At 38.5% G+C, this 24146-nt stretch overlaps 1 long non-coding RNA gene across 1 annotated transcript; it reads right to left on the bottom strand.

The window, feature by feature from the left end:
• Positions 1-850: 850 nt before the first annotated feature.
• On the bottom strand, positions 851-16757 carry LINC02064 (long intergenic non-protein coding RNA 2064). Its single transcript, NR_104628.1, has 5 exons — positions 16635-16757; positions 10592-10720; positions 5101-5173; positions 2634-2743; positions 851-1106 (listed from the first exon to the last, which is right to left on the bottom strand). It is a non-coding gene; the product is annotated as a long intergenic non-protein coding RNA 2064 (long non-coding RNA).
• Between the last annotated feature and the right edge of the window lie 7389 nt (positions 16758-24146).

Genomic DNA, 24146 nt, shown 5'->3' on the forward strand with positions numbered 1-24146 from the left:
CAATAACAAAACGGAACTGAGCTGTGTAATATATAGTGGCCTTTTAGCCACTTGACCAGGTCCTTACTCATTTACTCTTTTTTTTTTTCTTTGAGATGAAGTCTCCCTCTGTCACCCAGGCTGGAATGCACTGGTGCGATCTGGGTTCACTGCAGCCTCCACCTCCTGGGTTCAAGTAATTCTCTGCCTCAGCCTCCAGAGTAGCTGGGATTATAGGCACATGCCACCATGCCCGGCTAATTTTTGTATTTTCAGTACAGACGAGGTTTCACCATCTTGACCAGGCTGGTCCTGAACTCCTGACCTTGTTATCCACCCGCCTTGGCCTCCCAAAGTGACGGGATTACAGGCGTGAGCCACCGCGCCCGGCCCTCATTTACTCTTAAACTCTTCAAGTTGTATAACAAAAAATAAATGCAGACTCAAATAAGGAGAGAGTTTATTCAAAAACACTCTCGCAATGGGGAAACGCTCTAACCTCAAGATCTGCAAGTGTCTCAAAAGTAAACAAAAAAGCAAAAAAAATAGGGAGGTTAGTGCTAGCAAGAACTTTGTGAATAATAGGGCAGATGGTAGACATGAGCCAACGACGTGGTCAGGATGGTTTAACATAAAATGTTTCTGTGGTCTGCCAATTTTCAGAATGAGCTGTTGAGAGGAATGTTCTGTAACTTGGTGCTTTAGTGCTTACTTGAGCTTGTAGGCAAGCCAATGTCTAGGGGCATTTAGGGAGGAGAAAAGCCTGACTAAAGTTCGGTCAAGACAAAGTATGTTGGGTAAATAATGGACAATTTTTAGCACTTGGTCACATTCAAGTCTTTGGTGCACAACGAATCATCCCAAACTTAGTTTTTCTTTTTTTTTTTTTTTTAATGTTATTTAATTATATAATGATTCTACTGGGATATTTCTCTGTTGACTGGGCTGGGCTGATCTCAAACCTGTCACTTGTATATCTGCATAAAGTTGACAGTTTGACAGGTGGCTTATCCTGGATGCTCTCTTTCACATGTCAGGCAGTGGCAGGCCTTCTACTGAAGTGATGGGGGTGACCCAGTGATATCACAGACTCAGACTATTTGAGGCTGGTTTATATAGCAGCAGAACTGTAAAAGAATGAGAGCAAAACCTGCAAGACCTCTTGAAATGTATGCTCAGAACTGACACTGTCATTTATGCTATATTCTATAGTTCAAACCCAGTAACAAAGCCAGACTTGATTCAAAGGATGAGGAGATAGATTCTACTTTTTGATGGGAGGAGTTGCAAAGTACATATGGTATTCTGCCTTCATGTCATTCTAATGACTGATTATCATCAGATTTAATATTTGCTGTCTGCTTCCTTATTGCCACAAATCATTGCACACACCTACAACTGATTGGAAGACTAAACTATCTCAGACTAGCTCAGAACTTTGTTATAGTTGTTAGTTTTGATTTTAAGTGTTTGTTGATTTTAATCGTTTAATTGTTTGTTGAGTCTTCCACTGCTGGCATGATGATCCAAAAGAATCCCATGATATAGATTAGACCCAACCCTTCTAAGCAAATTAGGATATTATATTTTGTGTGATTTTCCAGGCCATTTTCTTTGTGATACCACGAAGAAACTGGACAATGGTCAGATCCTGTTGGAATAAGATGGAAGCAAGCAAAATTCATGCATTGTTTTTACTTACACTCATACAGGTATAAAAATAGAAGCAGGCACTCTTCCCTGCTTCTAGGAAAACTGGACACAAAATATAGAAACTGAAGCTTATCCTCTCATTTAATTCACTAGGCCAAGTACCTTCCTACAATGATCTGGTAATTTTTATACACATACTAGCTATAAAATAGGCCCCTGCCTTTTGTCGTATAAATTTCGTATAATTTTGTTGTTCTTTTCTGCTGCTGTTGTTCTGGTTTGTTATCATCATTAATGTGTTCTGTGTATTCAGAAGTTTAGGTAAAATTAGATGACTCTAAACTCCGAGATCATTTCCCAAAGAGCTTTCTTCCAAGTTGTTATATTTCCTTAATAAATGCAAATGAAGTAATTATCTAGTTAAATTTTGACTAGGCATTATTCATTTGAGAAATTGTTGTTTTATCGTGCAAGGGAGGCATTTTTTCCACCTTTGGCACTTTACAATAAACTCATTCTGATTTAAATTGATTGCTTTGGGATTATCTTGGAGTCATTAAAATATTGCTGTATTGACATTCACTAATGTCTTTAATTAGCAATTTCAAATTCCAGTGTTTGGCATTAGTATGAACAGATATAATTTATAATATCACTATAGCTATTTATTCAGTTTTGTTTGTATATCTATTGAGTTTATAAAACACTTATTTGGCATTCTTGAGCTATATTCAAGCCATTAATGTTGGTAAAATATTTAGATTAGCATGTCTGCCTCTTTAATAAAGATATGGTTGAGATGCTGAACTTCTCTGAACCTGGATTAAAATGAAGGGTATATTTTTATTTTGTTTTGTCACTTTCAAATAATTTTTAAACTTTACATTTGTTAGGAATTTAAAAGCTCCACATACACAAAATGTAAGAATCTCTCACTATTTAGAAATTAGTGTTTTTCAAAAGCCAGACACTTTTGTTCAGAGGGATGAAAATGTTTTTACCTGGAATCCTTGTACACATTGTAAGGTTATTCTCAACTGGCTTGGCACTTGCTCTTTTTGACAAATGTTATATTCATAGGGTTGCTTTTAAATTCCTGCAAAGAAAAAGCCTGAAAAAGAAGGAGACAGTCACAAAAGTACAAAAGCAAAAATTCGTCAATATAAATTGACCAGAGAACAACATTAGGCTGACGGGTTGAGTGCCTTTTCTCCATCCATATTCTCCTTCTTTTGAGACAATAAAGAAAAAAATAGAGATCATACACTTCGAGTTAGGATGGGGTTAGATCTGTATCTCCACATGATCACCCCTTCTACCTATTAACTTGGTCATTTCCCCTCTGTAAAATAGTTTTCTGGCTACTAAACGGGCAGAAAGCAATATTGATTATATGGGACTGTTGTGAGAAGCAGACAAAATAAGGCCCCAGAAGAAATATGGTTTTGCACAGATGGTAATGATTACATTAGGTTCTCTTCCTTTCTTATATTCTATATATGCTTACCAGCAAGAATGGCAAAATGTTCTTCTTTAAACATGAGAACATCATAAAAGAATAAATTTTCTCTATTCTTTCACGAATGTGTTTTATATCAAGTCCTGAGTATTCAAGTATATTGTTATAGGGCTTTCCAAAATAAGGGAGCTTTTACAGGGTGTCATTTTGTTTACCTCTTGGCTATAAGTAAGTTTAGTTTGAGATTTTAAAACTCATTTTTTATGGATGAATGTTACTGAGCAAGGAGGATGGGGTCTGGAGGCAGGGAACCTAAGGCTGTTTCACGCTGACTTTCTAGAACTAAACTGAAAGGAAACTCCTAACTTTACACATCTAACAAAAGGAACAGAGGCTACTCTCTTTGACCTTTTCTGTGTGGCAAATGGAAAATTGGCTGTCTGCAACAAATCAGACTGATTGCCCGCCCTGTCTTTGTTTGCAACTTTGTAACTTCACTCCTGCCTCTGAATGGTTACTGTCCACAACCAATCAGACTGATTGTGGGTGGAGCCTTTATTTGCATAGAAGTATAACTTCACCCTATCCCGATTGGTTGCTTTTTGCAACCAATCAGATATTTGTCCAGGACTGTGACTTTTGTAACTTCACTTCAGCTTCTGATTGGCTGCTTTCTGTAACCAATCAGACTGAGTGTGGGCTACCACTTCATTTACATGAGTTGAGCATCAGGTGGCCAATGGGAGACTTCTAGGGAGTGTTTGGACCCAAGAAGATTCTGTTCTGGGCCTCTGAGCCACTGCTGAGGTCCACTCCCACACTGCGTGCAGTGTGCTTTCGTTTTCAATAAATTCCTGCTTTCGTTCTTCTGTTGCTTTATTCTTTCTTTTCTTTGCTGTGAGATTTGTCGAATTCTTTGTTCAAAACACCAAGAACCTGGACAACTTGCAGTCACGATCCTCTACCAGTGCCATAACCTGGAAACCATTACAACTATAGGATGAAAGTACAGTGAAAAACCACATTAGTAGTACTGTGATGTTTATAACCCTCCAGTATTTCAGGTCCAATTTAACTAGGGCCCTTTGCTGTAGCGTTCCTTAAGCTTGAAACATTATTCTAGAAGATATTTTCACTACTGCCTTTTTTTCATCATTAGGGTTTTATCTTCCTGACAACGCTAGCTAAAGGAGAAATCTCTCATTAGCCACTCTCAGTCAAATGCCTCCTTAGACTCTTGTTCTTAGCACTCAGAACAAGAAATCTTATGTGTTTATGTATAAATGGTTAATATCTGTATCCTTTTAAAATATGTAAACTCCTTTAGGCCAGAACTCTAATTTCTTTGTCATCCCTATATCTTCAGTGTACAGAATAACATGTGCTACATAATATTCACTTCATATGAGTTAATATTTGTTAACTGATGAGTAGGTGAGAGTATTTCACTTTTCAATCTTTAAATTTCTTTATATTCTCTCTAGATTTTTTTTATTTTTCTAACTATGAACTGTTGACAGTTACAGATGGATCTGGATACATTTCTTCTTAAAACCCTAATAAGCAATTTATATGGTTTGGATTTGTGTCCCCACCCAAATCTCATGTTGAACTATAATCCTCAATGTTGGAGGAGGGGCTTGGTGGGAGGTGATTGGATCATGACAGTGGATCCCCCCTGATGTTCTCATGACAGTGAGTGAGTTCTTATGATATCTGATTGTTTAAAAGTGTGTGGCACCTCCCCCTCTCTCTTGTCCTTCTTCTCTGGCCATGTAAGATGTGCCAGCTTCCCCTTCCACCATAATTATAAGTTTCTTGAGGCCTCCTCTGCCATGCTTCCTTTACAGCCTGCAGAACTGAGTCAATTAAATCTTTTTTCTTTGTAAATTGCCCAGTCTCAAGTAGTCTATAGCAATGCAAGAATGAACTAATACAGCAATTGACTGTGACTTATTTGTGTACAATGATTAAAATATTCCTTACCATACTGAATATATTCAGGGTACCTTAATGATGTAAAGAGTCCAGAGCTAAATGAAGAATCACATGAAGCAGGATCAGATGCCATCCATTTCAATGCTAAAAAAAAGGAATACATATTTTAAGGCATATTTTAATATATAGAATAGATAGGCTATTTAGACAGTTTAAAAATTGAGAATCAAATGTTTCAGAAAGTCTATCTTAATATACATGTAACAAAGATGATTGTCTTGACCAAATTTTATTCAGGCTCCTGAACCTTGTAGGATCATCTGTATACTTGCTTGTAAAAATCCAGTTTTGGAAGAAGCCCCCTGCTAAATCAGTTCGGTAAGAACCTCCCACCCTCATAATCTTATCACCTTTTATATTAGCGAGGATTTCCATCCTCCACCATCCCTAGGTAATGTCTAATCACCTTGGCATCTCTTCAGCAAGCATCCTGTTACATAGGTTTAGCCTGAATCCCTCTTACTTTTAAGTTACCTCTTAGTTATTTTTTATCCATTGACTGCCATCCTGCTGCAAGGATACAAATTCCCACTTTCCCATACTATATTTAGAATCGAGTCTTATCTTTTTCCCTCACTACAAAATACCACTTCCATGACCTCCAAATGTATAGCAGTGGTCCTGAATAAAGTCCGCCTTACTGTATTTTAACAAATAACATTGTTTTTTTATCTTTAACACATGGTAAAGCATCTATATTAAAATATAATTTTTATGCCTATAGCTTTGGATATTAAATGGATCGACACTTTGGAAAAGAGACTCCTATAGCTATTTTAATTCTCCTGTCCCATTACACTTTATCTCCTTACTGCTTAGTTTTGAGCTCAAAATGTGATACAAGCTCTTCCTGTATGAATATTAAAGGATCTAATAATTATAGTTTAATAAAATGAAACTCAAGGGTGAGATTCATCAACTAGAGAAATGTAGATTTTTTTCATGCAATTTAATAACATCAAATGGACTCTATAATCATTTTCCATATAAAGGATCAAAAATGGCTTAACTGGGCTTATGCAGGTAGTTAAAAATATGCTCAGATGGATCATATGGAAGTACAGAAATATCATTTAATGTTAAATTTTATTATTCGTTTTATATATAGTAAAAATTAGATTGGCTACTTGACATTTAGTATTTAACTTTTTTAGGGTTAGACATAGAAACATTGAAATAAAGGACTGAAAAAGATATTTAGGCCACTTAAATACTTAGTATGCAATATCTAATCTTGTGAAGAATAGTTGTTAATACCATAATTACAGACCCTCTAGAGAAAAGTGTTAACAATACTCCATAAGATTTCACTAATGTAATTTTGATATATAGATATGGAGTATTTTTTACGCAAGTCCTGAGCACGTATAAACTAGGAAGTGAATCTTCATATATGAGGTCTCTAGTTGTAGTCCTTAGCAGGAGAAACTGATTTTTCATGATATGTTAGGGCAGGGGATACATAATCAGAACATTAAAATAAAACACACAATAAGGACTTCAGAAGAAAATGCACTCCTAACTGAATTTGAAATTAGATGGTATGATAAAAGTAGAAAAAGGAAAATCCCTAGCATTACGAGTTAACTGAATTTCTCATGCTATTTGCTCACATAGGAACAATTTGACTTTGAGAAAGTGAAAGAAATTCACTGAGTCTCATTTTCTCATCTGTTAAATGGCAAGGGTACTACTTTCACGTAAACAGCATAAGGATTAATATTCATAAGATTATAGGTAAACATTCCATTATTTAATATACAGTTTTCAGCCATTTACTGGAGGTCTTATATTGTGAAATAAGACATAAATATAAAGAAAAGGTATAAAGCTTAGAAAGAAAATTACAGCTCTCGTGGTTTGCAGAGAACATAGTTGTATAAATGTAAAATTCACGAAACTATTAATAATGAATAGGTAAGTGAATTAATCAAGTTTGATAGACACAAAGTTAATATTAAAAATCACTTTTTAAATAAATACTAGCAATAATATATAAGTGTTATATATGTGTAATTTAGAAGGATAAGAAAATAATACCAGCAATATATCTAATGAAAGATGGATAAAACATCTACACTAAAATAGTAACAGAATTCTTGCAAAATTTAATATTTGCAATAATAGTTAGCTATAAAGCTTAATATTTTTAAAATTTTAATTCACTTCAGAATATCTCTCAAAATACCAGATTTTTTATGTGTAGAAATTCACAAACTGATTTTAGAATTTAGAGTGAAATAGAAAACATCAAGAATATCCATGACAATTTTAAAAACTGAAGTTTGAGGATTTTCTCAATTAGAAGTCAGAAATCCTTCAAGTCCAAAATTCATATAACATGAAGATATTGGTCAAATAGTATATAGTATATATTAGAAGGCAATGAAAGAGATTAAAGACTCAAAATCTCTGCCACCTCTATAGGGTGTCCTGCAATCATAATATCGGACACTGTGGAGTAATAAAAATAAACTAGATATTGTGGTGACGCACTGTTTGGACATTTCTTTAAAATATTTTATTGAGTGTAAAACATAATAATTGAACAGTTTGAGGGGTCACAAAATGCATATTGAGGTAACACAATGCATTAGAATGTGAAATAAAATTCACATGAATTAAGGATCTTACCCAATATGGCTAATAATTTTAAGATAGCAAAAAACGAGATAATTGTAAATCAGGCAGAGGTTGCCAGTGCTTGGCTATTTCTGCTGAATGTAGGGCTTTTTAAAAGGACCATGTGTATTCTGGAATGCCCCACTGACTTTATGAAGAGTCAAATTTGTTTCACAATAGGTGGATCTCCTTGCCCAATTTTCCTTTTACGTTTCAAATAGATATTACAGTCCGAAGACTTTCCTAACTAACTCATTCCTTTTCCTTCTGTCTTGCACAATAAAATGCTGACATTTCTAACTCTCAGGTATTCTGCTTTCCAGATAGCCAACTTAACATACCTGGTGTCAGGAGTGATTCAAGGATGCAGCTGGAAAAATGTGGATTTGGGACTAGATCTCTCACTACCTGACTGTTAATGATGATCTAATCTTGTAAGGTATGTAGGGCATGGATAGTCTATGGTACAAAACTGTGGTCCAATTTCTGAAGTTTAACCTTAGGAGGTATGGTAATATTCCAGTGGAGAGAAATACCCAGGTTGTTATAATTGTTTAGTAATATGAAAAGTAGAGAGTGACAGATAATGTGTACAAGGAAAATTAAATTGGTTGGTTGTTATTAAATTTGTTTCTCAGTGTCCTATATAGTGACATCATCAGGCTGGGAACAGTTCTGACATTGGTGACTGAATATGAAGTGTAAAACATCTTTTTGGTAGCTCACAAAGAGAATAATTGGTGATTAAGTACAAAGTGCAAAATGTGTCTTGGTAGCTTGCAAAGCACCTTATCTCCTGTAATGAGAGAGAAAATAATTCAAAAGATCAAGCCCAGGATTTACTAGTTCGAGTTCCTGAGCTTTAAACACGATTCAGCCTTTAGCCCAAGTAAGTCTGTTATAACAAGCTCAGTGTCCTTGTTGGGAAATCTGAATCTTTCACACATGGACTAGGGGCGCATAGGCAGATGCTTCTGAAGACCAAAAGTACTATAATCCCTACAAACTCCCATTAGAAAGATATTATACAGAGGCCAGATAATGGATGGGGTCATGGCTAAAGTTATCATTACAGCAGGACTTTTGGGTTTCCAAATGTAAAATTGAGACAGACACTTGGCAATTGTAGTACTTCTCACATTTGCTCTTAGACTATAGAGTAAAAGCTATTGTAGTAGAAAAGATAAAGTGGAGGGCTCTGAAACTAACATTCCTATCTCCATCAATAAACAATCTAGTAAATCACAAATAATACTGCAACGTGGGTGGAGTGGTGAAGATTAGTGCAATACTCGGGCATCTAATGAATTCAAAAATGGCAGTGCCTATTTTATCTTCATTTTATCCAACATTCTGGACACTGAAGAAAAAGTAACCTGAAAGATGGCTCAAATACCACTACAAGGTCGACAACATAGTATACAATATAGCAGATGCTATCAGAAGATGGTGCATTTGCTAGAGCAGATTATAGGTACAGTTTCAACATTTAAAGGCATTTGCTGCCCAGTTTTGTTTTTTTTTCCCCTTCCTTCTATCTTTTATAACTTTAACATATCATTTACTGCTGGCAATCTTAACCTCACTTCAGCATCTCCTTCCTGAAGGACTCCACCAGCCTAAATGTCAAACATGACAATAGTCAAAGCATGCCTAAAACACAATATATTTAAGCATGAGATGTTGCCTTGTGCAAACCTGTTGTAGCTCAAAATGATAAAAATATGTTCTTATCTGTATATGTGATAGTTAACAAATAGAAAGACCTGACACCAAATCTCTGAGATTAGTGTGCTCGAGAATGTCCTTTTCCTGAGGCTGAATATGCAGGCCACTGCTCCTCGTGTTTGATGGTTATAGCTCTTTGCTTATTATACTGACAACCTTCAGGAGAGGCATGTGAGACTCAGGTAAAACTGTTGTGAGTCACTGGTGACCTGAAGTTATTATGTTTCAAGGAGTAATGTTTGTGCTAAGTTATTATGAAGGAATAGCAACTGATACACTCCAGAAAGGCTACATAATTAATAATATCTTGTAAGTTCTTATTCAATGCTCATCCTTCTACCTTTTTGTATGTGTAAACTAGGATGGTTCAGTATTTAATATTCCTCTTTACTTAACTGTGAAGATCTGTGTCTAGAGAAGCATAGTTTTGCACAGTGGTAAATATATCATGTTATTTGCCTCATCTAACTTCATTAATCCATCTCTTTATTCAAAACTTAATTATATCAAATATTTTAATGTGGTCTTATGTATTTGTTTTTCACCCATTAGCATCTTGTATTTAATGTAAGAGTATCGCAGAGGCTTCTCTAGTTATAAAATTTCAGAGAGATTTTATTATTCAGCATTTAATATTCCAGCAGAGGACAATTAATGTCATCAAACATGATATTATTCCATAAATTCATTATTTCCTCTTGATATACATTTTGTGAGGAGGAGTGAAGAAAAGGATTACTTGTAAATTTTTTGAGAAAAATAATATATAAAATTCTACTTATTGTGAGGCTGTCGAAATTATTTAAAGAATTCAATATAAATGTATTTTAAAAATATTCCTGCCAAAAATAATTTCAAGACTAACAATAACCTTTTATCTTAACATTTTTGTTGATGTTAAATGAAAAGTCAAGAATTATCACAGTATGCCAAGTAGAGTGTCTGATATAGTCCATGTTCACTGTAGGGCATTTTCCCATGATTAAAGAGAAGGGTGGGGAAGTGAAACAAATATATTTACACACCACAGAAAGACTCTCTTTGAGAATTAAAAGTAGCAGCTATAAAGAAGGCTGTTTCACCATGTAGAGATTCACTAGGAATGTTGAATTTGAAGTGAGCTAGCTATTATTTAAAGAGAGTAAACGATACCTTGTATTGCATTGGTAGAATATAATTAATATTCTTATGATCTTATAATTTTAGTGTATGGCTGTCTTGAGAAATACATGAATCATGGATCTCTGTTGGATGGGTATTCAGATGATCCTCCAAATCTTCCTTTTACAAATAAGAAAATGGTATAGTAAACATTAGATGAAGAAGCTCTTGTTAGAGATCCAAGCTACCCCTCCTCCTCCTCCATGACCTTCTCAATACAGTCCTTTGTGACCACCTACAAGCACCCCCAACCCTTTTCTACAGCTGCTTGTGCAAGACTTTCAGTAGAACTGTTAAATAGTTCCAGGATGCGGTTAAGACATCTGTCCACCTTGCCTAGCCGAGCAGACAAAAACATTTCCACGAAACAGTTGCAACACCTGCAACACTACTCAGTTTCCGCCACCCCAACCTAACCCCTTGCCCTATAAAACCCCACAGCAGCCTGTAAGCGGGGCTGCCTCCTCTGTTTACAGTGGAGCAGCCCAGCAGGTTAATAAAAACTTGCTTGCCTGACTTTGGGGTCCACTCGTTCCTTCTCTTGGCTAACCTTACATTTTGGTGCCGAAACCCAGGAAGGGGTAGGCTCTGGCTGGGTGTCCCTAGAGGACACTCTCTATCTCCCTTTCCCTCTCCCTTTTGCTCCCTCACTCCTCCCAGGCTCAGTTGTCGCAATGCACTGGAGCCTCGGTTCCCTTCCCTATCTCCCGGCCACCCTCCCCTTCCTGAACCTGTGGAAGACCCGGGGAATTTCTCGGACCCTCCCATTGTTGGCAACTTCATTCATCACTAGAGTCTACACAGAGGTGAGTAAGAGAGACTCTTGCCATTTACCCAGGACCCTTGACAATCTCTGTCTTCCTGAAAGACCCAGCGCTGGGCCAAGGGCTCCCTCTCATCTGTAGGCCTCCGGCATCTCCGTTTCAGGGATGCCAGACTCTGTGGTTGCCTTCCGTATACTAAACAAAACCCCTGGGACTGGGGACGCCCGCTCCTGCTGTCCTAGCCACCGGCAGTCTCTTCTTCCTCTGCCCCCACCTCCATCCGCTATGGAAGCCTCTCACTCTACTCTGTCTAAAAGTATTCCCCCCCCCGGGGTGCCTCTTGCACAACCTCAACACTCTCGGCCTCCATTCAGAGGTTTGTCCCAAGAGGCTTATTTTATACTGTAATACGACTTGGCCACAATGTAAATTAAACAATGGCTCCCAGTGGCCTGCAAATGGTCCTTTTGATTTCAATATACTCAGGTACTTAGACAATTTTTGCCATTGCAGTGGGAAATGGTCTGAAATTCCTTATGTTCAGGCTTTCTTCACCTTCTGTAACTGCCCTTCCCTTTGCCAATCCCACTCCACTTTCCAAATCCTCCTCGCTGGTTATAAACCCAACTTGCTCTCAGCAGACCCCACTTGTCTACCAACCAACGACTCCTCCTTTGACCCTGCAGACTTCCCCACTCCCCGGACTTATCCTGTTCCTCCTCCAGAACATCATGACCATGACCATAGGCTTCTGCCCCAGCATTTCCCCTCTTTCTCCTCTCTCTAACCACCCCGCTTCCGATTCTGAGCCCTCTCCGTCTCCAACCCTTACCTGCTCTCGGACCCAACATGCCCAACAACCAGCTCCCATGCTTCCCCTCTGGAAGTTTGCTAGGGCTGAAGGAATTGTCCGTGTCCATGTTCCTTTCTCTCTAACCCATCTTTCCCCAAATCGAAAAGCATCTCAGGCAGGTCCTTCTCCTCCGATCCCGATACTTATACCAAAGAGTTGAAACATCTCATGATCCTTATATAATTCCCTCTTCCACCCTCCTTCCAGAAGAAAAGGAAAGAGCGTGGCTCACGGCCCAGGCACACACTGATGACCTCCATAGGCAAGATGATACTAAGCCAGTAGGGTCCACGGCAGTATCCTGAGAAGAGCCCTCCTGGGAATACCAACCCACGGACCCTGGCCAAGCATCCCGTAACCATATGGTCACTTGCCTCACTGCGGGCCTTAACAAAGCTGCTCACAAAGCTGTAAATTAAAAAAAAAAAAAATTCAAAGAAATTTCCCAGAGGGCAGATAAAAATCCCACTACATTTCTCTCTCGCCTTACAGAGGATCTCAAAAATACATCTGCATTGATCCTGCTACCCCAGAAGGCACTATACTTCTTAATATCCATTTTATCTCCCAGTCAGCTCCCGACATCTGGCATAAACTTAAAAAAGCCAAAGAAGGCCCTCAAACCCCACAACAAGACCTTCTCAACCTGCCTTTCAAAGTCTTTGATGATAGGGATGAGCAGGAAAAAATAAATAAGGCCCAACAAGATCGTGCCAAATACCAGCTACCAGCCGCAGTTATTCACCAACCTGGCAATAGCACCCAAGGGCACAAAAGACCCAAGAGCAGTCTTCCTCCTGGGGCCTGTTTTAAGTTTGGCAAAGAAGGCCACTGGGCAAGGGCATGTCCTAACCCACAAGTACTGAAGAGCCCCTGCCCAGCCTGCCAACAGGCCACTGGAAATCTGACTGCCCTCTTTACAGGCAAACAAAAAAGCCTGGCTCCCCAAGCCGTTGTCCCCTCATCAAGCCAAAAAGTGAAGAATCACTCGCACTCCCACAGCTCCTCAGCCTGGCCGCTAAAGACTGATGGGGCCCAGGGCTCCCGACCTCCTCTGCCATCACTGCATTGGAGCCCAGGGTAACTCTACTAGTGACAGGTAAGCCAATCTCTTTTTTAATCAATAACGGAGCCACCTACTCTGCTTTACATAAATTTGCAGGACCAGATCATCCCTCTCAGGTCTCAGCTGTGGGAGTTGATGGACTTGTCTCCAATTTCTGTGCCACCGGACCACTGTCCTGTCCCCTGTTTAATACCATTTTCTCACACTCTTTCCTTATCATGCCTCGCTGCCCTACTCCCATTCTAGGCCGAGACCTCTTAACCAAATTTAAGGCTTCTATCACCTTTTCCTGCCTCCCTCAACCAAAGTCCCTCCTGCTCCTTTCCACTAGTCTGGCCCCTGACCCCTCTCCCCAGTACCCACTCCCTGCCTGTCTCATAGTATGGGGCACCACCACCCCGTCCCTAGCACCCACTCCCTGCCTGTCTCATAGTATGGGGCACCACCACCCCGTCCCTAGCTGCTTACCATTATCCCATAAAAATCCACTTAAAAGACCCCTCCAAATTTCCCAGCGTACCCCAGTACCCCATCTCTCTCACCCACCAAAAAGGCTTACAGCCCATTATAAACAAACTCTGCTCGTGCATTCTCCTTAGACCAACTCACTCTCCATATAACATCCCCATCTTCCTTGTTAAGAAATCAGACGGCTCGTACCAACTTGTCCAGGGGCCTCTGAGCCATCAATTAGGCTGTCCTCACTATTCATCCCATAGTCCCTAATCCCTACACACTTCTGTCTCTCATCCCCTCCAACACCACCCACTACACCACAGTTGGCTTAAAGGATGCCTTCTTTACCATTCCCCTACACCCTGACTCCCAAAACCTCTTTGCCTTCACCTGGACTAATCCTGACACTTTTCAATCACAACTCACATGGACCATCCTCCCTCAAGGCTTCAGGGACAGCCCTCACTTCTCTGGACAAGCTCTAGCCCAAGACCTCACCTCCTTAGACCAGTCCCCCAGCCATCTCCTTCGATACATAGATGATCTCCTTCTCTGGAGCCCCTCCCTAAAAGACTCTCAAACTCACACCATTACCCTTCTAAACTTTCTTGCTAGCAAAGGATATAGAGTCTCCCCCTCCAAAGTCCAACTATCCACCCCAACAGTAACATACTTAGGAGTCCAACTCTGCCCCAGGGTCTGAGCTATGACCCTGGCATGGGCAGCCTTAATAAAACAGCTTGCCTCCGCCTTCCTCAAAAAATAAAATTCTCTGTCTTAGGATTGGCAGGTTTCTTTAGGATATAAATTCCCAACTTTGCCCTCCTGGCTCACCCCCTCTATTAAGCAGCCAAAGGCTCCCTCAGTGAACCCCTAAGTCCCACACATAACATACTTCTCAGTGTCCATAAACTCCAAACCACTGTTGTCACTGCACCTGCCCTGTCCTTACCTGATATCTCCCAACCCTTCATTCTCTACACTGTCAAAAGCTGAGGAGTAAACCTTGGTATCTTAGGGCAACAGAAAGAGGATCCTCCTTCCTTTGCCCCTGTAGCTTATCTCTCTAAACAATTAGACCACACTTCAAAGGATGGCCAACCTGTCTTAGAGCATTAGCAGTGGCAGCCGTTTTAGCTCTGGAAAGCAAAAAACTAACACTTGGCCAAAGCACCACCATCCACTGCCCTCACAATTTACAGGATCTCCTCTCCTCCCAGGTGTTAAACTCCCTCTCTCCTTCCCGAGTTCAGTCACTCCATGCCCTCTTTATTGAAAATCCCAAATCCAGTGTTGCCAAAAGTGCTCCCCTCAACCCAACATCCTTACTCCCCATATCTTCTTCCCCTCTTACTCATTCTTGGACTGACATCCTGGACCTTGTACAGCCACATTTCCCAAATATTTCCTCTGAGCCTCTCACCAATCCCTATGAACAACTGTTCATAGATGGCTCCTCTTCCAGGCCCACTGGCTCCCCCAAAATTGCTGGATATGCAGTTGTTTTCCTTGACCAAGTAATTAAAGCCATACCCCTACCAAAACCCAGATTTACAGTCCTTAATAAGTCTCTCCAATTCCTATTCCAAAATGAAAAACCTCTCAACACAATAAGGCAAGCAGCTCTGTTAATGTGCCCCTATTTCCATATTGGTTCCACTCCTACCAACCATACTAAGCCCATCTTCCGTCCTACAGCCACCAACATCTTCTAAACTTCTCAAGCTCCTCTGTGCATCCAATGCCACTTCCCCTCAGGTCACCTCCTAAGACACCTACCTTCAAACCACTGCAACTTCACTGCAACTTCACAACTTCACTCTGCAACTCCAAGGCCCAGTTAATCATACTAATCTTTCCATTTTCTGGGTTACTATGAGCTTTTCTGGCCCCTGAAAATTAACACCACTGTACTACACAACATAAACTCAAGATACTGCAACAAAAGACACCTACCCTGCCTATCCCTTCAACCCTGGACTACATTCCCCTATAAGGCTCACCACCCCCAACCCCAAACGAATATCTCCTAATCCCCCTGTTAAACAGTAACCACAAACTCCTGGTAGACACAAAACGGTTTCTCCTCCACCAGGAAAATAACCAGGTTCAATCCAACCATCCCCCAATACCCTCTTCCAGCCACTCCTCACAGCTGCCTTAGCAAGCACCCTAGGAGCATGGATACATGAAGACCACAAGCTTAAACACCTTTTTAACATACACAACCAATTTTGTTTACCTAGCCAAGCCATATTCTTCCTGTGCGGTACCTCCGCCTACCTCTACCTCCCTACCAACTGGACTGGTACTTGTACTCTGGTTGTCCTAAGCCCAAAAATTAACATTGCCCCTGGAAACCAAAGCCTATGAATCCTTGTAAAAACTCAAGTGCGCCAATGCAGTGCCGTTCAGTTAATACTTCTCCTAGTAGGGCTAGAAATGACTACTGTGGTTGGAACCAGAGTGGCGGGGCTTTCTACTTCCCTCATGTACTATCACTGTCTCTCACAAGATCTTACAGGCAGTTAAAAAGACATAGCTAACACTGTTTCAACCCTCCAATCACAGGTAGACTCCTTAGCCGCAGTTGTCCTTCAAAATCACAGAGGTCTTAATTTGCTCACTGCTGAAAAAGGAAGGCTGTGCATCTTTTTAGATAAACAGTGCTGCTTTTATCTCAATCAATCAGGCCTAGTACAAGATGCAGTCAAAAAATGAAAAAACCAAACCCCACCCCCCCACCAAAAAAAAAAAAAACACATCCTCTACCTGGTCCCTCTGGCCTTCATGGTCCCTTAGCTTTTGGGCTCCCTGGCTACTACCCCTCCTTCGCCCAGCTATAAGCATGCTTCTTCTCTTAGCTTTTGGACCCTGCTTCATACGTCTCCTTACCCAGTTTTTACAGGACCACATCAAAGCCTTCACCCATAGGACAGTTCAAGATATGCTGCTTCTTCAAGAATACTGATGGCTTCAAAAACAACCATCCGAAACCCCCAGCCTTTCCTCTTCTACGCCGCCCTTCCACAGCTACAAGCAGTCAGATGATAACGTTGCCCTCTTCCTTTATGACCTATTAAAGGCCGGAATGTTAGAGATCCAAGCTACCCCTCCTCCTCCTCCAGGAACTTCACAATACAGTCCTTTGTGACCACCTACAAACACCTCCCCAACTTTTCTACAGCCGCTTGTGCAAGACTTTCAGTAGAACTAGTAAACAGTTCTAGGATACAGTTAAGACATCTGCCCACCTTGCTTAGCCGAACGGGCAAAAACATTTCCAGGAAATGGTTGAAACACCTGCTACCCTACTCAGTTTCCCCTACCCCAGCCTAGCCCCTTGCCCTATAAAACCCCACAGCAGTCTGTAAATGAGGCTGCCTCCTCTGGAGCAGCCCAGCAGGTTAATAAAAACTTGCTTGCCTGAGTTTGGGGTCTACTCGTTCCTTCTCTCGGCTAACCTTATAGCTCTCATCTCAACCAATTCTAAGAATTATGCCCTTATATACTAGTGTGTGTGTACCACCATTTACATTTTTTGATTCTGGAATAACAGACTGTAAATAAAAACTATTCGGCCGGGCGCGGTGGCTCACGCCTGTAATCACAGCACTTTGGGAGGCCGAGGCGGGTGGATCATGAGGTCAGGAGATCGAGACCATCTTGGCTAACAAGGTGAAACCCCGTCTCTACTAAAAATACAAAAAATTAGCCGGGCGCGGTGGCGGGCGCCTGTAGTCCCAGCTACTCGGGAGGCTGAGGCAGGAGAATGGCGTGAACCCGGGAAGCGGAGCTTGCAGTGAGCCGAGATTGCGCCACTGCAGTCCGCAGTCCGGCCTGGGCGACAGAGCGAGACTCCGTCTCAAAAAAAAAAAAAAAAAAAAAAACAAAAAAAAAACACAACTATTCATAACTAGTTAAGAACTTGGGTTAATGATGCATGTTTCTGAAATAATTCTGCCAGAGTCAGTCTTATTTCGTCTATGGCACAGATTTCTCTTTAAAAATGGCTTGAGAAGAATTGCTAGCTCTATTTCTAGCTCGAAATTATACACCCCATAACCTGCCATGACAACCGAGGGTGACATGATTTTTGCCTACATTCATTTACCAGATCTGGACACATGGCTTTATAAAAGAGCTGGAAATTATAGGAGTGAAAATAAAATTGTCCGTATACTTTGTCATTCTATCACAAAAAATCATAAGATATTACCACTTAATACATTTCAAATACAAAAACATAATAAATCATGTTAATTGAAATGAAAATTTCTTTAAATATGGGTCTTGGAGGACAATTTTTAAATGGTAGAGTAAAGATATTTGAAAATGCACTCCTCCATAAAAGTGATGAGAATGCTGGGAGAAAAAAAATCAAAATTAATATTTTCAGAATCTGAAAACAAAAGCTTTCAATTACTCAAAGTGTTTACTCAAGAAAAATCATTGAATCTAGGTAAGAACAGAAGATTCATGACCCTTTAACTTTCCCTAATCCCATCATGCTGTCCCAGATTCACAGTACTCTTGAAAACTAACAACCTCATAATTCCAACAGCTGTGAAATCCAGCTAACCAACAACCACTGGAAGAAACAACATATTTAGATATCCAAAAACACCCAAACTCCAGTGGATTCTCATTACTTGACCTGTCAGGCAACTCCCTGAAAAGCTTCATTCTCTGGGCAGTTGTATAGTTGATATAGCACAGAGCTTCCTCTGTGCAAATAGCCATATCCTTAGAGCATTTATTTCAAAACAAACGATGGCAATTATTTAACAGCATAGCTGCCTGAAGTGGTGATAACCATTGGGGCCAATAAAAATCTGGCCAAAAATCTTAAAAGGAAAAAATGAGAAATGAGTTTTTCATGGGGCACTTTGAAAACCACTCACATGTTGCTGGTATTTTGCAAAGCCACATGCCTCTACAGAGTCATGTGCATACTCAGGACTTTGCACATATCCAGAAAAGACCTGTGAAGGCCATGATCTCTGACCTCTGGAAGCCTTAAGACGGTAGGTAAATAGGAAGTAAAAACTAAGATGTAGTTAAAAACTACTTTTCAGAGTATTAAAAACATGCTTTCTCTCTCTCTCTTTCTCTCTCTCTCTCTCTCTCTCACACACACACACACACAGAGACACACACACAAACACACACACAGAGCCCATTCGCAAAGGCTAAAAGACTTACTGGTGTGAGTAACTTAAGAGAATATATTAGATGACTACTAAGTGAACCAAGCAGAGACTTTAGTGGCTGCAGAATTCCTCCAGGATAATCCCTAAATGAACAAATAGCAACGATGAAAACTGCAACAAACAGTAACAGGAAATACTGAAGATTGGGGGAGGTAGGGTGCTTTCTAAAGTTCACACGTTTAAATTGTCAACTAAATATACAGAGACAAAACAACAAAGCCTGGAGAGGGGAGAAAATCTGATTCCTGGAATGACTATATTTTATTATTTACAATATTGTTTAAACAATAATAAAATAAATGCAAAGAGACGGCATACTTCATACACACAAGGCAAAAATACAGTCAATAGAAACTGTTCCTGATGAACCCTAGAATATCGGTAAGTATATACTTTTTAAATGAATTAAATAGAAATTTTAGAGTTGAAAATAAAACACTGAAATGAAAAGCTCACTAGAGTGTTTCAAAAGCAAATTTGAACATATAGACTAAATACTTATACTGAGATTACCCAACCTATGAAACAGACTAGAATAAAGAATGAATAAGACCTCACAGACTTGTACAGCATCATCAAGTATATCAGAATATTTATTACAGGATTCCCAGAAGAAAAGAGAGAGAAAGAAGCAGAAAGAAGACTTAGAAAATAAATGACTCAAAGTTTCCAAATGTAAAGAAAACTATTTTGCATACCCCAAAATTCTAATGAGCTCCAGGTAAGATAAACTCAAAGAAAGCTATACTGACATTTATAGCCAATTTGGTAACATATAAAAACAAAAAGACAACCGTCAAGATAAAATCTACTTATTACATCAACAAGATTAGCAGCTTACTTCTCAAGAGTCAAAAGGGAAAAAGAAAACTGTCCAGAATTCTACATACAGCAAAATTATATTTTAATGACTAAAGAGAGTTTAAAAAAAATTACCAGACCAAAACTAATAAAAGGTATTGCTAATAGACTTGACTTAAAAAGACAGTTTTAAAAAGTCCTTATGACTGAAATAAAAGGACACTGGAAAGTAATTCAAATCCACACTACGAAGTTAAAAGCAATAATACAAGAAACTACATAGGTAACTATAAAAGGTTTAGAATGTAGCATAAATATATTTTTATCGTGATAAAATACACATACAATTCATCATTTTAATCATTTTAAATATATAATTGAGTGGTATTTGGTACATTTGCAGTATTGTCCAATTTTGTACTATATAGTTCCAGAACATTTCATATATCAAAATAAATTCTGCATTCATTATGTTTTTTGTCCTTATCTTCTCTTTCCTCAGCTCCTGAGAAAGAAAACTCAGTTTTCTGTTCTAAAATTTGCCTATTCTGGATATTTCATAGGAATGGTATCATACAATATGTGACATTTTGTGTCTAGTTTCTTGAACTTGGCATGATATTTAAGACTCATCCATGTAGCATGTACCTATGCTACATTCCTTTTTGTGGCTGAATAATGTCTATTTTTATCTGTAATATTTTTCTTGCCCAATTTTACTAAAAAAGTAATAATTATAAATCATTGTTGATAAACTTATATTATATAAAGATGTAATTTGTGTGACGATAATTGAAGTTCCAAGAAGAGAAATAAATTGAGCTATATTTGAACAATTTTTTTGTATATTACTTAAGCTGTATAGGTAGTAAGGTGAATGATATTGTGTTAAATAATTTGTAATCCACATGACAACAACAACAAAAAATCAGTAAAATATATTACAGCAAGCTAAAAAAGAATTAAAATTGTACACATCAATCTGTCTTTATTCTTATTAGTATTTACATCAAGTATCATTAGATTAAAAACTACAGCGGAAAGTAAACATTGGCAGAAAGGTTAAAAAACACAATCTAATCACAGTGCTATCTATAAGAGACAAACTTTAGGTTCAAAGTTACAAGTAAGTTAAAAATAAAAGGATTTAGGAAGATATACCACATAAACACTACCTGAGACAGCTGAAGATGCTATAAATACATCTGAAAAAATAGACATTAACACAAAATTGCTGTTAGAATCAAACATTTTACAGTGATAAAATGATTTATTTAACAGAAAGACATAATTATAAGCATAGTTACAACTAACACCACAGCCTCAAAATATATAAAGCAAAACCTGAAAAAAAATGAAAAAAAAGAGACAAATAAAAAATAATAGTATGAGACTTTGTTCCTCCATCTAAAAAAAATGGATACATGTCAGTAGATCAAGGTAGAAATGGAAGGTGTTAACAATACCATAAATCCTCTAGACCTAATATCAATAGAATACTGTAAAGTAAAACAATAGAACACACATTCTTCTCTATAGAAAGTTAAGCATTTATCCAGGATAAATCATATTTTGAGATACAAAATAAGACATAATAAATGTGAAAGTACTAAAATCATTCAAGTTATGTTTTCTGACCACAACACATTGAAATTAGAAATCACTAACACAAAAATTTTTTAAAGTCATAAAATGTGGAAACTAAACCACATTTTCTTAAATAATGAATGACTAAAGAAAAAATCACAAGGAAATTAGAAAAAATAACATTGAGATGGATGAAAATGTAAATGCAGTGTATCAAAACTTATGAATACAGCAAATGCAGTGATGGAATAAATATATACCTACAAATACCTGTATTAAAACAAGATAAATGATCATAAATAATAACATACCATTTTAATAAATTACAAAAATAAGGAAACAACTATACTCAAAGTAAACACAAGGAAGGACACTGTAGAGCCTATAAAACATAATAATACTAATAATAAATAAAGAGAACACCAAGAGAGAAAATGTAGTAAAACCAAAGTTGAGTTCTTTTAAGGATCAATAAGATTGGTAAACTTTTAGCTATATTGATGAGATAGAGATTTGAAGATATAATTATTAAAATCAGAAATGAAGAAAAGACATCATTAGTGACATTGCAGAAATGAAAAGGATTAATTATAAGAGGATACTAGGAAAAATTGTTTGTATGTCATCACATTAGATAACGTAGAAGAAATGGAAAAAATCGTAGAGATATATAAACTACCAAAACTGTCTCAGAAGAAGGAATAGAAGGTTTTTGTAAACCTATAACAAATCCAGTATCAGTGAAAATAACCTCACAAAGAAAAGCATGATCATAGATGACTTTACTTGTGAATTGTACCAAATGACTATAGAAAAATTAACACTAATTACCAATAACTTATTCGAAACACTTCCAAAATATTCTGAGGCAGGTGTTACCTTGATATCCAAAATAATGAGGACATTACCAGAAATAAAAACAACAAACTGTTGTCCCTTATTGACACAGATACATAAATTCCCCCCTCAAAAAATACCTTCAAACAAAAGCCAGCAACATGTAAAAATGATTTGTATACCAGAACCAGTGGGAATTATTACAGAAATATAGGACTGATATAACTTGTCAAAATTGATCAATATAATGTCATATTAAGTGAATTAAATAATTACAAATAAAAATTAATTTAGTTTCAATTAATTACTGGATATGAAGCATGTTATTCCAATACATCCTTAAAAAGCCTTTGACAAAATTCAACATCTTTTTTTTTTTTTTTTTTTTTTTTTGAGATGGAGTTTCGCTGTGTCACCCAGACTGGAGTGCAGTGGCACGATCTCATCTCACTGCAACCCCCGCCTCCTGGGTTGAAGCGATTCTCCTGCCTCAGCCTCCCAAGTAGCTGGGATTACAGTCGTGTGCCACCACACCTGGCGAATTTTTATAGTTTTAGTAGAGAGAGGGTTTTACCATGTTGGCCAGGCTGGTCTCAAACTCCTGACCTCAGGTGATCCACCCACCTCGGCCTCCCAAAGTGCTGGGATTACAGGCATGAGCCATGGCACCCAGCCAAAATTCAACATTTTTCATAATATAAAGTACTCAAGAAACTAGGAATATGACAAAACTTTCTTAACCTGACAAAGGTCATCTACAAAAATGTTCACAGTTTATATTCTACTAATGGTGAAAGACTTGATGTTTCCTCCATGACATAAGGAACAAGACTAAGAGATTTACTGTTGCCACTTCTATTGAATATTATACTGAAGATGCTAGCAAGTGCAACTTGTCTAGATAACTCCATGGATAAATAAATTTTAACAAATGGTGCTAGATCAACTGGATTTCAACATCCAAAAGAATGAAAATTAAACTCTATCTTATGCAATGTACAAAAACTTAACTGGAAGTGTGTCACACAGATAAATGTAAGAGCTAAAACTATAAATTCTTAGAAAAATACCTGAGTAATCATAATTTTGAATTAGATTTTCAAAAATATGATATCTAGTGCACACATGACAAAAATAAAAGGCAGATTAGACTTTATCAAAATTAAAAACTCTTGGAGTTTAAAAGTACAGCAAAATGGCAGAATAGAAGCCTCCACTAATCACCCCCTCTGGCAAGGACACCAATTTAACAACTATCTACACAAGCAAAGCACCTTCAAAATCAAGTGAAGACTCAGTACCTGGTTTTAACTTCATATCACTGAAGTAGGCACTGAAGAGGAAGTCAAAAAGGTCTTAAATTACGCATGCCACCGGTCCTTCTCCCCCGTTAACAGTGTTGTGGTGTGGAGTGTTTCTGTGCACTGGGAGAGGGAAAGCACAGCTATTGCGAGGCATTGAATTTAGTGCTATTCTGTTGGAGCAGAAAGGAAAACCAGACCAAACTCTGATGCCTGTGCCCACAGGGAGCATTTAAATCAGTCCTAGGCAGAGGGGAATCACTGAACCTAGAGATAAGAACTTAAGTTTTTACAAACCTCACCTCTGTAGGCTTAAATGCTGTGTGTCTCTAAGTAAAGTTGAAAAGCAATCTAGGCCACAAGGACTGTGACTCTCAGGCAAGTCCTAATGCTGAATTGTGGCCCAGATACAATAGACTTGGGGGACACATAATCTACTGGGAAACCAGCTGGGATGGCTAAGGGAGCACTGGCATCACCACTACCTCAACCCCAGGCTGTACAATTCGTGGCTCCAAAAGAGATCCCTTTCTTCCACTTGAGTAGAAGAGAGGAAAGAGTAGGGAGAATATTGTCTTGCATCTTGCATACCAGTTCAGCCGCAGCAGGACAGGACACCAGTCAGAATTGTGAGGCCCCCATTCCAGGCCCTACCTCCTAGCTCCAGG

Source organism: Homo sapiens, chromosome 5, assembly GCF_000001405.40.
Source record: "Homo sapiens chromosome 5, GRCh38.p14 Primary Assembly".
Taxonomy (NCBI): domain Eukaryota; kingdom Metazoa; phylum Chordata; class Mammalia; order Primates; family Hominidae; genus Homo; species Homo sapiens.